Source organism: Homo sapiens, chromosome 11, assembly GCF_000001405.40.
Source record: "Homo sapiens chromosome 11, GRCh38.p14 Primary Assembly".
NCBI classification, from domain to species: Eukaryota; Metazoa; Chordata; class Mammalia; order Primates; family Hominidae; genus Homo; species Homo sapiens.
Genome location: NC_000011.10, coordinates 133286220 through 133303880, shown reverse-complemented (window position 1 = coordinate 133303880; position 17661 = coordinate 133286220). Strand labels below are relative to the sequence as shown.

At 42.3% G+C, this 17661-nt stretch overlaps 1 protein-coding gene across 4 annotated transcripts in view; it reads left to right on the top strand.

Moving 5' to 3' along the window:
- The window catches only part of OPCML (opioid binding protein/cell adhesion molecule like), a 1117521-nt gene that overhangs the window by 228621 nt on the left and 871239 nt on the right, over nucleotides 1-17661 (top strand). The window contains exon 1 of one of the 4 annotated variants that reach the window (XM_047427032.1): nucleotides 6703-6857. The exons of the other annotated variants lie outside the window; for them this stretch is intronic. The gene's annotated coding sequence lies outside the window, so the exon portion shown is untranslated. Of the gene's footprint in view, nucleotides 1-6702; nucleotides 6858-17661 lie in introns of those variants that run through there. 4 annotated transcript variants of the gene reach the window in all.

Below are 17661 nucleotides of genomic sequence, written 5' to 3'. Positions count from 1 at the left end.
CACAGAGACACTTGCTGTGTGTGTGCATCATTTGCCCTAGGTGACCCTATTCTGCAACTTTTTTTCTATTCAACAGTGTCTTCCACCTTTTTTTTTGTTTCTACAAACTTTCTGGAGTTCTCATCATCCCCACATTTCAAGCTGCTCTCTCATTATTAATTTGTGCTAACTAGTAAATGACTAACATCAGTTTATCAATAACGTACCCTCAGTAATAGGCCAAGGTCAATCTTAGAACACATATGGTAGCATATTTTATGCAAGTCTCATTCGACATCAGACCGGATTCAAATATCCATTGTGATGCAAGTTATTAATAGAATCCAGGTGTTCTTTGTTTTGTTGCTAGACTTTCTCGCTCTATTATTTAGTGAAACACTGATGAACCAACAGGCCAACCGCAATGAATAGCAGACTCAGCAATTAGCAGTCATGAAACCTTCTAGTTTACCATTTGCATTCTGTTGTGCAGTAGGTAGATGAAGGTAGAAAGCAAGTGATAAGGCACATTTTTGTTAGAGTTTCTCTTCTCATGCAATGCGTATGATTGCCTCCTGGTAAGGAAATTGGATCTACATGCTTAAATACTTTTGAAGTGCTGCTCTTCCCTTATGCCAACCTCCATTTCTGTGTCTTAATTGTCTTTCCTGTGCACCAGGGGGGCTCATATTTTCCCTCTTTTGCTCCAACTTCATTATCTAAAAACATACGTCAGTGTATTTACTTTTGGGCTGCATTTTCTTTCCAGATATTTTTCACTTACTTCACAATGCTTATTTATTTGCAAATATTTCATAACCACGATCAGCCTAAGTCATCCAATATTCAGGTATTTTGCTCAATAACCGATATCCAAACACAATTAGTTCGTGAAGAGTGTTAGTCAATGGAAAATCTTGGCATTTTAGTATGTTGTCAAATTAATCATTCCTATGTTGATTTAATTCAGTAGCATTAGAGAAAGGAAGAGGTTTGTGTGATCTTTCTTAATTAAATTTATTTAAATGAATTTGCATCACTACATCCCAATATGTAACATCTCTTTAAATTGTGAGAATCTCTTCTAATCAGCTCAATTCATAAGAATTTAGATTCAGAGGATAGGTTGAAATTTTCACGTTACCTCGAGGAATAGGGAGGAATGAGTTCTAAGATATATGAGGTTTCAGAAATATTATAACATGTATTTTAAACCAAATGCAGTAGTTAATGCTGAGACAAAGGTGTTGTGTGGTGCTCCTTGCACGTGCCATGTGAAATTTCTGTCATATACTGTTACCTGAAGTAGCCTTGCCCACCACCCCACCTGCCCTTTGAATGCCAGTGTGAATCCTACATGTGTTCACACACCAGGTCATTTCGCTTCTCTGTATGAAGCTGAATTAGTCCGTTCTCACTTTGCTATGAAGAAATACCCGAGGCTGGGTAATTTATAAAGGAATGAGATTTAATTGACTCACAGTTCCACATGGCAGGGAAGGCCTCAGGAAACTTACAATCATGGTGGAAGGCACCTCTTCACAGGGTGGCAGGAGAGAGAATGAGAGCCGGCAGGGGAAATGACAGATGCTTACAAAACCAACAGATCTCCCGAGAACTCACTATCATGAGAACAGCATGGGGGAACCGCCCCTGTGATTCAATTACCTCCACCTGGTCCTGCCCTGGAAATGAGGGGATTATGGAGATTACAATTCAAGGTGAGATCTGGGTGGGGACACAGAGCCAAGCCATATCAGAAGCTTTTAGCAGTTATCTTAGCTCACAATGGACTCTTCCTTCTCCTAATTTTTCTGACACTTATAGTCAGAATCATGTAACTTAGCACAATAAAGTCTTGCATTGACCTTGGATTGATTAACATCTTCTATGTCTTTCCAAGCTTTTTATGTCTCCAACAAAATTACGTATGTGGACTAAATATTCTACTTTTTACATTTTCCAGTGCCTAGTATATAGTAATTCACATTCATGGGTATTTGTAATTTGAGTCCATATAGTTTCTGACTATGGATCCAGAAGATGTCATTGGCTGAAATTATGTTAACTTTTTTTAATGCCTCTTCATACTATCTTGTATATGTTCAGTGTCCAAATTAAGTTGTTGTCTGATTGTTTCCCCACCCTCCACACATAAATATGAACAAACAAGCAGACATTTACTCTGAAGGAGTCCAGGTACACTACCTAAGCGCATGTCAAAGAATTATTTTAAGTGAGACTTCCAGTTTCCCCCTCCGATTTTATCAAAAAAGTTTACATAGATATTTCTTCTGAAATAAAGCCAAGAAAGACTTAAAACCACATTTACCTAAACATATGGAACATGTCCTCATCCCTAACAAAAGCTCTCAATGTTATCAATTAAAAAAATACAACCTGGAATTGAGACCTGTATTCATTTTGGAACAAACCTCAAATTCGTATTTTTGTGGTGAGACCAAATTGAAAACCTCATCTTTAAGCAATAAATATCTCTGAGCAGATTCTCTCTACTTCAGCCACCAAAGTAATTCCTTGTTTCCAAAATTTGTAGAAAAGCTTGTGAGCAAATTATTTCTAAAATGACAGACTTTTTCCTCTGTACTTCAAAAACTATATATTGCATGCCTACTCTAGGCATGGGATTGTGTTAATTGTACCATGGATGATGTAACAAAGACTAAAATACCATGCATATCTAGGGTGACTATATAGTTTATCACCAAACTAGAACTGTTTTGAGAGTGAAAGGAGAGTTGTTAGAATCCTGCTAGGCTGATGAGCATAAACAAAATTCTGCATGTGTAGCCACCCTGTACATCTGTGTCAGTTTCTTATGGCTACTCTAACAATTACCATAAACCTGGTGGTTTGAAATAACATAAATTTATTCTGTGACAGTTCCAGAGGCCAGAAGTCCAAAATTAGTATCACTGAGCCAAAATCTCCATGTTGACTGGCTGTACTCCTGGAGACTCTCAGGAGAGTCCTTTTCTCCTCTCTTCCAGCTTCTGGCGGCTGCCCACATGCCTTGGCTTGTGCCCGCACCAATCCAGTCTCTGCCTATGTGGTAGCATTGCTTCCTCCTCTTCTGTCTTTATGAAATCACGCTCTGCCTCCCTCTTAAGGGAACACTTGTGATGGTGTTCAGAGTCCACCAAAATATTCCAGGGCAATATCTCCATCTCCATGTTAACTTAACCATAGCTGCAAAGACCCCTTCTCCTCATACAAAACGATGTTTACAAATTCTAGGGAAAAGGCCTGATATCTTTAGAAGATATTATTCCGCTCACCACACGATTCCCATCTTTTAAAATTAGACACCTCATCAGGAAGTATTGTGATTTGGTGACACATGAGTGATATGGACAATACTGTGCTGTAGAAGAAACAAATCACTTGACCTTGAGGCACCCTTACCTTGAAAGAATAGGCAGAATTTGGAAAAATACAGAGGAATGCATCACTGACAGGTAAAGCACAAGCAAAGGTTTGGAAGAGGGGCTAAGCAAGGATGTTTGGGGGACAAAAAAGGAGACCACCTTGCCTTGAATATAGAGTTCACACAAGAGCAGCAGGGGAGAAGCATGAACGTCAGTTTGGCATCAGGGGGCTGGTTTTTCCTCATTCCAAGCTCTTCTCATTTTTCTACTTTATTTACTTGAAAACTCTCTTTCTCCTTAATCTTTCAGTCAGTTAATCTTTACACCTCCATGATCCTTCATTTCTTTTCCCCTTTGATGATTTCTGATGCTCTGCTTCTGAACTCTTCCTAAGTTCTGCCATAGTGATTCCCCTCTGTCTGTACTGCTGTTCCTACTGCTTTGCTTTGCAGCTCTTCTGCATTTGACTGTGAGCTCACTGAAAGAAAGGACCGTGGCATGTGCATCTTTGTGTCTCCAGAATTTAATTAGCACAGGGAGTAATTTATAAGGGGTGAATGAATCAGTATGGAGATTTATACCAAGGACCCTCAACTTCACTGAAGGTCTTTAATGATGGTGCTGATGTTAGTGGTGGTCGTGGCGGTATTTAATTATTTTTTCTAGGTAGGGATCCCTTCTTTCCTCCTCTTCCCGTTCACCTGCTCTTCATCACAGACAAGTATGGAGCTCCTCAGGCACCATCCAAATTAGGGTCATCCTAATAATTTGACCCCTTCATCTACTTAGGAGGAAATACTGAAATCCTCCCTAATAAAAAGCTAGGTACAGTATGTTCTGTCTGGAGATATTCAGAGATGGTATAAATTATTTTCTTCTGTCAATTTCAGGTATGCTTGTCTCACTTTCTCATACGTATTAACTCACTTTTAATAATCTACCCATTTTCTCTTGTTCTGCCTTTAGGCAATTGGGAAATAAGTGATTGGGCACTTGTTCTTGATAACTTGTGGATGGTTTTGGTTTCTGGTTGCTGTAATTAAAGGTGACTTAAGTAGAAGAAATTAGGTGTCTGCCCACTAATAAGCAAGGTGATGTTCATAAGCTGCTTTGCCACTATTGGCCTCAGAGCTTCAACCCCAGCAACTTCCATTAAAGCCAGGGATTAACTATTAGTGCAGCACAGTGGAAGGAACCAGAAGAACAGTTCTTTGGGTCCCAGCAACAAATTACTTCTGAATGAAACCTCTGATTAATGGCTCCAGAGTTGCCTCTTTGTTTTGCATAATTAAGTTTCATGGAGTGTTACAATGAACAACCTTGCCATCACCCAGGTAGAAACAGCCACCATTTATTTGGCCAGCAGTGTCAGAAAGTGCTGGGTGGTGAATAAGAAGCATTTATGAGGGGATTAGGTGCATTTGGGTCATAATTGAATAAGGCTATAATTACTTTTCATTAAAAAGCTACAAATAGGATGACCCTATGATACTACACCAAGTCCCCTTTCATTTTTTTTTTTCCTGCTGATCTGGGTCTAAGAACTTCCTTCTCTAGTCAAATAATGGCCATAATACAGAGAAATTTGTAGTTATATATGAAAGTTGACTGTTTCCTCTTTCTGCACCTCCAGCGCATATCTTGTTTTATGACATTTATTATGGCCGCTTTTGTTATCACACAAGCAGTCTGATATGCAATGTAGATGTCAAGTAAGCTTGAGACTCTTGTAGCTGCCTGAGAAGAAAGTCAAGGTTCATTGGGGCTACTGGGAGACAACAAAGTGTCTAGTACGTTGTTGCTGGTGAGCAGGCCAGGAATCAACCATTTGTCCATGTCAAGAGATTAAAACATGATCAAAAAATGTTTTCTTTATAGTTTTTTTTCCCCTGTGGAATGACATTTCTCTGACACAGTTATTCCTTTGACCAGTATCGTTTTGATGTTAAGGCAGAGAGACCAAGAGGAGCCATTGTAGGGATGGCATCCTCTGTTCTAGTCAAGTTTTCCTTGGGTCAATAGAATTTTTTAAAAAATGAATAATAGCAACTACTTGTATGGAGTTTTCTACATGCCAGGTACTTTTCTATGCTCTTTACTTGAACATATTTATTTAATGAAGAATTTGCTCCAAATATTTGATGATTTTTACCATTTTCTGTCTTTCTTACTTCCTTATTTTTACCATCCCTCTCTTCCTGAATTTATCTATTTCCTCTCTGCTCCTTTCTCCTGCTCTCCCTCCCTATCTTTCTTCTTGGCTATCTTTATACTGTGTCTGGGATTTGATCAAGGGAGAAAGAGAAAGCAATATGAAACCTGAAGAACACAATTCAAGCCCTGGAACTACCACTAGACATGAGTGTGATTTTGAGCAAGCTGATGAATCAAATTGGGCCCTATGTTGCTTATAAAGAAGAAGGAAAAGGAGGAGATGAAGAAGGAGGAGTAAGAAGAGAAGCAGGAAGGAATGAAGAAGAAAGAAGGGGAGAAGGAGGAGAAGGGGGAGAAATAGAAGGAAGAGGATGAGAAATTGGAGAAAGAAGGGGAGGAGGGAACAGTAGTAATACCTATTCTACCCATAGTAAAATGTTGCCATAAAAATCAAAGGAGACAGTGCCTATGAAAATCCTCTGTAAATTGTAAAGAACTCTACGAATTCAACTTTTTTTGCTGACCTCCTAATGGATGTTTTCAGGAATTTTACTAAGATTTAGAGCCAGGCATATGTTTTTTAAAAGAGAGAGAGATCATGCTCTAGACAAATTGGGTGCCTCATTATACACTTACCAGGAGGAAAATGCTGCCATTCCTGGCTAAAAACCCATTTGTCTTGCAAATATCTATAATGAACAGATTTTGGGATAAATACTATGTAATCTGTGATGACAGTTCTCTCATTTCTTTTTTATTAGTTCAATCTTCTCAGCATCTGAACCACATAGCTACAGAACCTCCATAATCATTAAGGCAGCTGGGACGTATGCATTTTTTCTCCTTTCCTTGGCACATCACAGAGTCCCCAATCAGTCCCTTGTTACAAGGCCTATGTTCTAGTAGTAGTTAAATGCACCTGTATAAGAATGCCAGAACAGAAAAGAAAACAAACAGCAGGGTGCATGGCCTTTGCAACAAAGTTCCATTTTCACAACTGACCTTTCCCTGGGTATTTAAAACTTGGGTTTTACTTGGAGCTTGTGGATAATTTGCATTGCACTAAACATCCCTTTGCTTAAAATAGATAATCTCAGTGGAATATAAGGTGGTTGCAGTAAACTCTAACCCACCTTATTCTCTATCCCTTTTCCCTTTGTCTTTCCCTAGGTAAGTGATATTTGATTATTGTTTTGAGCTTCTTCAGGAGAGACCTCAGAAGCCTACCTACCTGTCAATCCCATTGGAAGGAAGTCTTTGGCCAGTTCCTATTCATCCTTCCCAAGTGGTCCCATTCCATCTTTTGGCTCCTGCAGCATGGCGGGGCACATGGAGGTATGACTGTTCACTGTTAATGGGTTTGCAACTGTTCATGGTAAAATAAATGTGAGTTTTGGATCAGTGTCAATGATACAATTATGAGCAATTCCTGGGAACTGAAGGCCAAAAAACTATTATTTTACCTCTGTACGTCAAATTATTGTGTGGGTTCTCATGAATTCTATGTTAACCTATTTACTAAAAGTGAACTTCAACCAAACATCTAAGTGAATTATAATAATTTCATTTCTACCAATGACATCACAAATAATGTCTACCTTTTATGAAATAGAAGAAAACAGTCTTAAAATGTATTTTATTTATATACCCATTGAATACACAGTTGGGTCTGAGAAAAGTCAATCTGCCTTGTTCCCGAATTACAGAGTTCCACACGCTTCTACGCAGGAGTTGGAAGCATCGTATAAGACATCAGGAAAACAAAAGCACAGAGGGACAATGGGTGATGCAATTCTGAGAAATGAAATTAACATTTTCTTTGTGTCTATCGCTTATGGTACATTGAGGCACCATTCCATAAAAGTTACTGCAAAACTGTTCTATCACCTCTATGATCAGAGTCTGTAATGTAATTGTTGAGCGGGCTTCCAGAATCATGAACCTCACTCCACAGTACCTGCGGAGTCTTTTAATTCAGGTGACTGTGAAGGCAAATCATGGGCTGACAATGACTGGAATCTGCACCAGAAGCAAATAAACCGCTAACTGCAGACCTCAATCTAAATAAAATACAGACAGGACGACAGTGTATTTTGAGTATTACTACCAGAAATCCCCTCCCTCTGCCAAATCAATGAAAACGTTACCCAAATGTGGCTAAAGGAAATTTTTCACTCGGATTCAGGCAGAGGACATGTCCTTCATTCATCATCCTAGTTCTGTATCATTTACGGACACAGTTTTACATTCCATGGCGGTTAATGTTTATGTTATGTTCTTTATTAGTTTAAATACATGGAGCATCTCTCTTTACTTGTTAAGGGATAATTTTCAGTAAAACTAAAATCATGATTCTCATATAGACCAAAAATAGATGATCATTAAATATTTTATTTAACTCATTAATGAGGAAATCTGGCAGATGTTATATTCGTTTCAAAATGTAAGTCAAAGGAGTGCAAATGTATATGAAATATAGCACTATTGACTGTGATTTGCAAATGGACAAAAAACTGGCTTTTTCTATGAATTTGAGGGAAGTCAACTGAACCTGTACCAGATAGAATTTATTTGTATGTCTTTAGACAAGAACTATTTTGCATTGCTATCAATTATCTACAATTTATAGAGTAGTAAAATAGCTCAGAAGCAAGGAACATCTAGAATGAAATAACCCAAGCCAACCAGCAGCCCTCTGGGGTGCTCTGTCTAGGGAGCGGCCATTCTTAGGCCATTCTTACTTCTCTAATAAACTTGCTTTTACTTGAAAAAAATAATAACCCAGTAAGGCATGCTCTAAACAATGCATTGTTTTTCCCTGAAGATGTTTGGTAATCTTTTTGCTTATTTGTAATTTCCTTACACACTTAAGAGTACAGATTCTGCAATAGGAAGTTGTCATCCACCATACTTTCAGATCCTGCCTATGCTCCTGTATCAAAGTTCAGATCGGTGTAAAGCCTGGAATGCCAGCCTTCCTTGGATTTTGTAAGCTTACCTACCTTAGCTTTGTATGACTCCTGGAATGCCTAGTTTTACCACTTCTATCAATGAAGAAATTTTTAGTATTTTCTTGGAAAAGTGTAGATTCTTAAGAAATATTTGCTCAACAAATGAAGAAATCTTTAAACCTATGCATTAACTAGACGTTCTTTACTCTTTGGTTATTTACTGAGTGACATGATGAAAATATCCCCCTAGTGAAAGAAGTTGGGTTTGAAGCTTTCTGTTTGCAGGCTGGGTGTGGTGGCTCATGCCTGTAATCCCAGCACTTTGGGAGGCCGAGGCAGGTGGATCGCCTGAGGTCAGGAGTTCAAGACCAGCCTGGCCAACATGGTGAAACCCTATCTCTACTAAAAATACAATAATTAGCTGGGCATGGTGGCAGGTGCCTGTAATCCCAGCTACTAGAGAGGCTGAGGCAGGAGAATTGCTTCAACCTGGGAGGCGGAGGTTGCAGTGGGCCGAGACTGCACCACTGCACTCCAGCCTGGGTGACAAAAGCAAAACTCAGTCTCAAAAAAAAAAAAAAAAAAAAAAAAAGAAAGAAAGAAAGAAAGAAAAAAAAAAAGAAAGTTTCTGTTTGCAGGTTTGCCCTTGAAACATGTTTTGTCCATATTAATTCATTACCCTTTTTGGTGTGGCATCCCGCAGACCTCACACCTGGTTTGTGTCAATAGAATTGTGATGAAGCCATAGCACATTATATTAGCTGTGTGGTGGGTTGTTTCAAATGGGGGTGTGAATCAGGATGCCTAAATTATCAGCTTGGTCCACCTCCTCATGAAGAAGTCCATCTTCTTCATCAATGAAGAAATGTTTAATATTTTCTTGGAAAAGTGTAGATTCTTAAGAAATATTTGTTCAACAAATGAAGAGACCTTTAACCCTATGCATTAACTTATCAACTTGGTCCACCTCCACATTGATGAAGTAAGGACTGGAAAGGAAAAGAGGTGGCTCAAGCTGAAGAGGAGGAGAAGGCAGGTGCTGCCCAGCAGTGATAGAATTCTTCCTGGTATAGCCTTGCGACTTCAGCCCCTGATCTCAAGCACCAGGGGAGGCCACTGCTCTGTTCTATCTGTGGGTGTGATTGCCTCCCAGCAGATGTGTGAGAGTCATTTCTGCATGTGCCCGTTTGCCTCTGCAGAACACCGCTTCATGCTGTTGTCAGTGATGAAAATCCTTCTCGGTGGTCTAAAGCTATGGTACCACATGGACCCACAGTGATGACTTTTTCAGGGAGGCGGTGCTTCTTTCCACCACATCCCAGAAAATCATATCATTTTCACTGTGAGCAGCTCTCACTGAGATTCCCTTAACTCTTCTCACACAGAAGATCCAGCTGTGCTACTAAGAGAAGTTTGAAAGTGAAAGACCTGCTCCAATATTTTTCTTCTTTGTAAACCATCTGGATGCTTTTGTGTGTGTGTGTGTGTGTGTGTGTGTGTGTGTGTGTGTGTGAAGTCTTTTTTTTTTTTCTTTAGGATGTTAAGGGTAATATGCTCAAAGAGAGCAGACTCTTCAACCAAGATCTGTCACCTGCGTCTTCAAGCCCTAATGGGCACCTGTGTGCTAGTGGATTTACTGTGTGGGTTTCTCTTCCAGATCAGACCTTAAGATCACTGTTGTGTGATGTATCTCAGCCTTGATCCTTTCTTCTTTGGGGTAAATTGGAACCAGACAGTGTCACTGACTTGACTGAGATGCTGAAGGTGACCATGTGTGGGCTGAGTCCAGAACTCAGATCCGTTTACTCTCTGTCATGTGTTTGATTCTCCGTGGCACGTGCAGGGCTCAGATGGGAAGGAGAGATGCTACACATTTAGTTATTTATTACTTAGTAGCCAGCATTTACTGCCAATTACTTGAATGGCCCCCACACCTCTAAGAATTACCTATCAGGCATATACTCAGGGTGAATACTCTTCAGTCTGAAAGCTATTCACATTTCCTCAGGGCTCATGGACTTCGCCGTCAATGTACTTTCTTGTGTTTTGTAAATACAAGAAAATGTGATCACAGATACTATTTTTTCCTCTCTATGCAACCTCCTAGGTCACAGAGGGTGTGCATCTCCAGGATGATGGAAAGAAAATAAAGGTTGAAAATGGGGGATAGGGAAAGAGCGTGGGGTGCCGTGACTGTCCTTTGCATGTGTCTGCTCAGGCTCTGCAGTCCATCCCGTGTCTCTTCTTCTTGTCCAAAAATTCTACCCAGATCTAAAAACAATCAAAATGTCATAGAAAACTTCTCCCAGACTGAGGTGCTGGATTATCTGCCTAGCTCTGAGTGACTCAGTTCTGCATATCTCCATTCTCAGACTTCTTTATGGAGCACCTTGCCATGGGAGTGCAACTCTGAGTGGACCAACCACCTCTGCAGCCCTTCTTCCTCTCTTTTGCCTTCTGCCCTCTCAAAAGCATATCACACCTCTCTTCCCCAGCCCACGGTCCAAAGCAGAGCATCCCCATGCATGAATTTTAGTTGCAGACTGATTTCTAGAATCATGATGAGGAGCCACAAGCAGTATGCCAGGTGGTAGGGAGTGAGATTTAGCTTCCTTATATAACTCTCTGCAGCTCATTCACTGAATGTCACTTTTCCTTGCGTCCACATATTATATCTCATTCTAGCAGAATGCAATAAGGTGGAAATATAAGGGCTTTTGGAATGCAGTTTATTAAGACATGTTTTGGAGCCAATTGGAGGAGCACTGGCTGGAAATGTTAATCACAGTAAACCCCAGCGTACGGACCTGCCTCCCGTGTTCGTTTGCCTTGGGGAATTGGAGCACAGTACTGGGCTGGTAACATTCTACTTCAGGTTATTATTATGATGATGATTTCCCTTCTGGAATATGTATCAAACTGTATATCTTTATTTATTGGGAAAACAACAAAATAATATTGAAGGGATCGCCGCATAGCTACTGTGTACACGTGGAGTAAAAAGAAAGGGATTCCTAGAGGGAAACAAGTGGAAATGTTGAACCCCTAGAAGATTTTCTGGGTATTGGAAAGAAACGGAAAAGCCACTATGAAAAAAGCAATATTGCATCTCTATCGCAATGAGCTTTTCCAGGAGCTGGAAAAGGCATTATTACTCTTGGAGAAAAGAGATCTCTCTTTTTTCCCCTCCCTTTTGATTTAGACTTCTGTGAGCCAAAGTGTTCTGGTGTTTTAATGGTCTGTTTTAAAGATGGAAAGGGCCCTTATGTGTCAGAACACAAGCCTGTCCCAGCCAGCACGGGGCTTTGTTTGATTATGAAGCTTGTTTGGGATAGATGATATTTTTATAGCTTCTGCTTTGCTTCACCGACGGCCATATTGATGTAGCTCTCCAGGACGGGCCTAATAAATAGTTTATAAAACTGTAAGGCCATTCTCTTGTGTAATCTACCACTGTGCCTTCACAGACTGCAGAATCGCACATCCAGAGCGAGCTGGCTTCTCACACACAAGCCGGCCACAGGCCCTGGGGTGGGAGGCTTGGTGTGTGTGCATGTGTGTGGGCAGCTTGAAAAGAACCACCTGAACTTTTTTGTGAAGATTTTAGAATAGCAGTGGAGAGTAAAATGCTGAGATTGGGTGTCTCATTAATGTTGTTCAATTTGTGCTCAGATGCCCAGGCTGCTGGAAGGGCTGGGGCTCAAAAGCAGCTGTGGAATACCTTCCCCCAGGGCTATAAGCCTGTGTGATCTCACCGTTTGCCAAAAAAATAAGAAGCAGTGGGAAGAGTGTGGGGAGATGGAATAATGGGTAGAAGAGGTGAGAAAATGAACAGAGCATGCAGTGCGCAGAACCTGCAACCATGTCAGCTGCCTTTCTAGGAGGACGGTAGATACCGGCTTTCCCTGGGGAAGGATAGGGGCTGAGCCCCTGAGGGGTGCCCACCAGCAGCAGGCTGACCACCAAGGGAAGGGGGCCAGGGTGTAGATTTCCTTGGCAGTCCATGGCTGGATGCTGGTGCAGTGGACGCAGGGCTCATCTCTCGGGTTGGGGAGCACCTATGCCAACAGCTCTTCCTGCATCCTCTTTAACCGACAGACACCCCATGAAGCATCGATCATTATCATGATTTTGGAGATGATGAAACAGCTTCAAAGAAGTTTATAAAACAAACAAAAGCAAAGGAACATCAACAAAACAACTCCAAAATTTGCCTTTTGGTGGTTGAGCTAGTAAGTGGCAGGGCCAGAATTAGAACCCAGGTTTTTGTCTTATGACACAGCCTTGGGCATTGAGCTGTGCGTGGCACGAATAATGTTGGTGTTACATGCAAGCGAAGCAGGAAACTATTTATGAGATGTGATTTTAAACACTTAAGAAATATTCTTTCCCAGAAATCCCTGCGGCTGATAATATTCACCTGAGCATCTCAGGCTGATGTCTGAAAACACACCTTGACTTTGAGGAGTTGAGACTTAGCACAATTCAAGTGGCCCTGGGAGAGTAACAATGTAAGCTGCGGCTACTTCTTGAAACTCCATTGCTGTGGCCTCACAGGGCTTAAAGTAATTGGAAGAAGATTCCAGACAAGGCATTCTCAAGCTCTGCCTTCACCCACTCAGTGGAAATGGAAGCTCTTCTGAAATCCTTTCCAAATAGTTCTGGGAAGCCAGGGCATGCTGCCCATGTACTCCATGGAATGGGCTCCTGGGCTTCTGGGGTGGCTGTTATTTTTTGCTCTCCTCCTTCTGTTGTCTGGTGACATCTCCTGGCACAATCCCAAACCAGCCACAGGTGCCACTCAGGGGTCTCTGGGTCTGGTGCCTGCAGTGCCTCTGACTATGGAGGGTGGCCCTATATGCACCCAGGGACCTGGACTTCTTTTCTGCTGCCACACTTACTATCACATCCCATCCCCCAACATCCTAGAGGCATTAGTCTTTTCTTTCTGATGGTCCTTACGGGGGAGAGTAAATTACCTCTTGGAGTTTTGATTTGTCCATTGATTGCACTCAAAGTCACCTCAGGGCTCAGGTACAGGCCAGGAGGTGATCTGAATTACAGGCACCACGCTCTGCTGAGGGTCACCTCTCTAATCTAGCATTTGCCTGCTCTTGTTGAACGAAACTATGGCAACTCTACCATCCCTCATTGGCTGCCCTACCCTCTGGGTCTCCACGGGTGCCCAGATACACCTGAATGCCAGGGCAAAAGCAGTGCAGCTGCTGAGACAGAACTTTGTGATGCTGCATTCACAGGTTTTCCTGAATGTTCCTTGCATGTAGGGCCCCATTCAGAAGCATGCAGCCTTTGTCACTGTGGAATTTGAGGAGATTTGAGAAGATTTTCTTAGTGGGCTAGGAAGGAAAAGATCTGGAGCTTTTTCCACTGGGAAAAGGGTTCTCTGTGATTTGCCCATGGTCAAGTTTTCTTCCAAGGTTCCTCAGTTGCCTCCACAGTGATTAGATGGCCGGGTCAGAACAGCCCAGGGGGGAAATGGACGTTAATCCCCCAGCACCTGTGCAGACCCAGCACCCTTCAGTTATATGATGAGGAGAGAGGGTTATCTGTGGGTGTCCGTGGGCCATTAGAATTTTTAAAACACCAAGGAAGAAGAAACAAGAATGTAGCTCATGTCCAGGCTTAAACATTAACTGTGTAACCTCAGTGCGCTCAGTTCAGCACCGCTGTCTCAAGCTCCTTTTCCTTAACAGTGAATAAAGAACAACGAAACTAGCCCTAGTCTCTAAGACCGTACTGATGGGAATAGCGTGAAACTAATATGTCAATTTTTTTTTTTTTTTTTTTTTTTTGAGATGGAGTCTCGCTCTGTCGCCCAGGCTGGAGTGCAGTGGCGGGATCTCGGCTCACTGCAAGCTCCGCCTCCCGGGTTCACGCCATTCTCCTGCCTCAGCCTCCCGAGTAGCTGGGACTACAGGCGCCCGCCACTACGCCCGGCTAATTTTTTGTATTTTTAGTAGACACGGGGTTTCACCGTTTTAGCCGGGATGGTCTCGATCTCCTGACCTCGTGATCCGCCCGCCTCGGCCTCCCAAAGTGCTGGGATTACAGGCGTGAGCCACCGCGCCCGGCCACTAATATGTCAATTTTAAAATCAAATCAAATTGCTATCAAAACATGAAGGAGAAGTCAGGAATCATAAGTATTTGCCTTATTTCTTATGTGAACATTTCCTAAATCAGGGTTTACTATCCAAAACAAATTAACAAACAAATGGTATCAACCTAATCCATTATTTGCAATACTCTCATTTCAACAAAAACAAGCAACACATCATCTAATCCTCGGATAATTCTGGTCTGCATTATTCTTCATCAAAATCATGGCTGTGACTTTCTCACCCATGTCCCAGGGCCCTCAGTTTCTCCCTGCATGTCTGTGACTGTGTTCTAAGAGTTCCACATGTGCGTCCCTGATGGGTTGGGCCCAGCACTGTGCTGGCTATTCTTGTCTTGCTTCTTATCATCCCCTCAAGATGCCCACGAGAGTTGCACTAAGGGACGAGGTCAGGCAAATGCATGCTCTTAATTACCATGAGCCTTTGGCCGACACCCCAGTCTAGTTGGCCTCCTGTGAACTAACCCCAACATAGAAAGCAGAGGTCTCTCGCAATTCTAGCTATTCATTAGAATCACCTGGGAGATTTGAAAAAACAAAAACAAACAAACAAAACCAGTGGTGTTCAGGGGCTTTTCCCTCGGCACCCCCAAGGGATTCTGATTTAATTGATCCAAGGTAGACCCTGGGTGTCCATATGTTTTTAAAGTTCCCAGATGATTTTAATACAAAGCCCAGTTTGAGAACCACAGATGCAAAGATGTGAGCTCCTCTTATGTGAGCTGTGGCCTTACACCGCAACAGTCCATATTTCCTATTTCCCCAGGTTCGTGGTTGAGCCTGCCTCCACTTTTTTTCTAAAGCACTCTACTTCAGAGGAAATGCCACTTTGGGAGCACAAGTGCTGAGAAACAGTGGGCCTGGTAGCTTAAGGAATTTGCCCATTGCTTAGATGCTGAGGTAGGCAACTTGACCATGGGTTGTCTCATGGTGGAAGAGATCCCAGCAGGAATACCTCCAGGCCAGCATAACCTGCTAAGTCTCCAGGAAGCAGAAGTCTAGGGAGATCCACAGAGAGAACAGGAGGTAGGCTTGATGCCTGACCAGTGCCTTTTAAAAGCACTTCTCTCCATGCCAGCCTTAGCCTGTGGAAGGACAGAGGTCAGAGAGAATTCCTCATGGTGGCTCACATCTTTAGCACCTTCATTCACCGCAGGAAGCTGCAGTGCTATCATGGACACACAATAAGATGCTTAGAATCCATCCAAGTTCTCAGCTCTCATCCTTCTTGGAAGTGGAGTCACATCAAGAGCTAAACTGGAGTAGAGCATGTAGTTAGCATCAGCCAGGACAGAAAGATGGCCAGCTGTGAGCCTGTCTTCAAGAAGACTGCCGTGGTGCGGGAGCCAGAAACCAGTCCACCAGGAACACTCCCCACAGCCCAAAGATGCAATCCAAATTTCAGGAGCCTGGCTGCAGAGGCTCCTTGGGCTCTGACAGTTTCCTCCTTCTCCAGTTTTCCTTCATGGTACCTGGACAGCTCTTTGAATGGCCAGCCCTGCTTGAGTCTCACACTGCTCTCTGCCTCCTTTCCTGCACGGGCCCCTGCTGACCTGGAAAGTCCTGCCTGCCTCAGGGGTCTCTCCAGAAGCCTCCCCTGGTTCTGCCTGTCTGCTGGGAGCCCCTGCCCCAGGCGCTGCAGCCCATTCTCCATGCCTCCTCTATACACTGGTTCACACCAATTTTTGTCTGCTTATCTGTTTATTTGTTGGTCTTTTTTTTTTTTTTTTCTGAACATTCCCATGAAAGAAATCAGAGTCAATATCTGTAGTTACTGTTTCCGGTCTGGTGGGCATGAGCCTCAGGGGGCTATCAAACAGCTAAAATCTGGTTCCTGTGCATGTCGAAGCAATATTTTGCCCACTTGTTTCGGCTCATGGCTATAATCCCAGCACGTCGGGAGGCCAAGGTGAGAGGAGCCCATGAGGCCAGGAGTTTGAGACTAGCCTGGGCAACATAGTGAAACCTTATCTCTAAAAAAAAAAAAAAAAAAAGAAAGAAAGAAAGAAAAAGAATTAAAAAAAATATTTTGAATACATTTGGTTAAATTAAAATTTCAAAATAATTTTACTTTATCTTTTTTGCTTTTTAAAATGTGACCTCTAGAACACTTAAAATTATATGTATGGCAAAAAAATGAGCCATATGGTTGATATTACATTTCTGCAGAAAAGCTCTGGTCTGCAGTCGGAAACAAAGGGCCAGGAATTGCTCTCACTAGTGTTTCTCTTTGTATCTCAACTTCTCCTTCTGTCCACAGCCTCACCCATCTCCTCCCAGGCAGTGCGCAGAAGATAAAAGATGACCAAGATCTTGCCCTTGCCCTTTAATTCTCTCAGTGATATATTTCACTTTTTCTAAATCATCCAAACTTCCTCTGCACAGTGCCTCAGATAGGGTAGGTGCTCGACAAATAATGATTGACCGGTTCATGTATGCAATTATTATTTATCCAGCATGGTTTTCTGTAGCCCTTTTAAAACCAATGTTGTTCCTTTTATTCATGGATTTTAGAGTGCTTAGGTTCGTTTTATCTGGAAATGCATCTGTCTGCTCCACATTCTTGAGGTTAGTGCAGGTAGATGGTCAGGCTCCAGTCTTACTGACCAGCAAGTAAATCACACCACGAATAAATGAGCAACAAGGCCGCCGAGGCCACTGCCCGCAAGACTCGGTCAGTTAGTTAACAAAATATCCAATATTCACAAATGAATCAGTGAGAAATCAAATGAACACTGAGGTTGTCGTGAATATGGCATCTTCTTAGGTGAGTCCTTTTTTTTTTTTTTTTTTTTTTTTGTGAGACACAGTCTCGCTCTGTCGCCAGGCTGGAGTGCAGTGGCGCGATCTCGGCTCACTGCAAGCTCCGCCTCCCGGGTTCACGCCATTCTCCTGCCTCAACCTCCCGAGTAGCTGGGACTATAGGCGCCCGCCACCACGCCCGGCTTATTTATTTTTATTTATTTATTTATTTTGTATTTTTAGTAGAGACGGGTTTTCACTGTGTTAGCCAGGATGGTTGCGATCTCCTGACCTCGAGATCCGCCCAC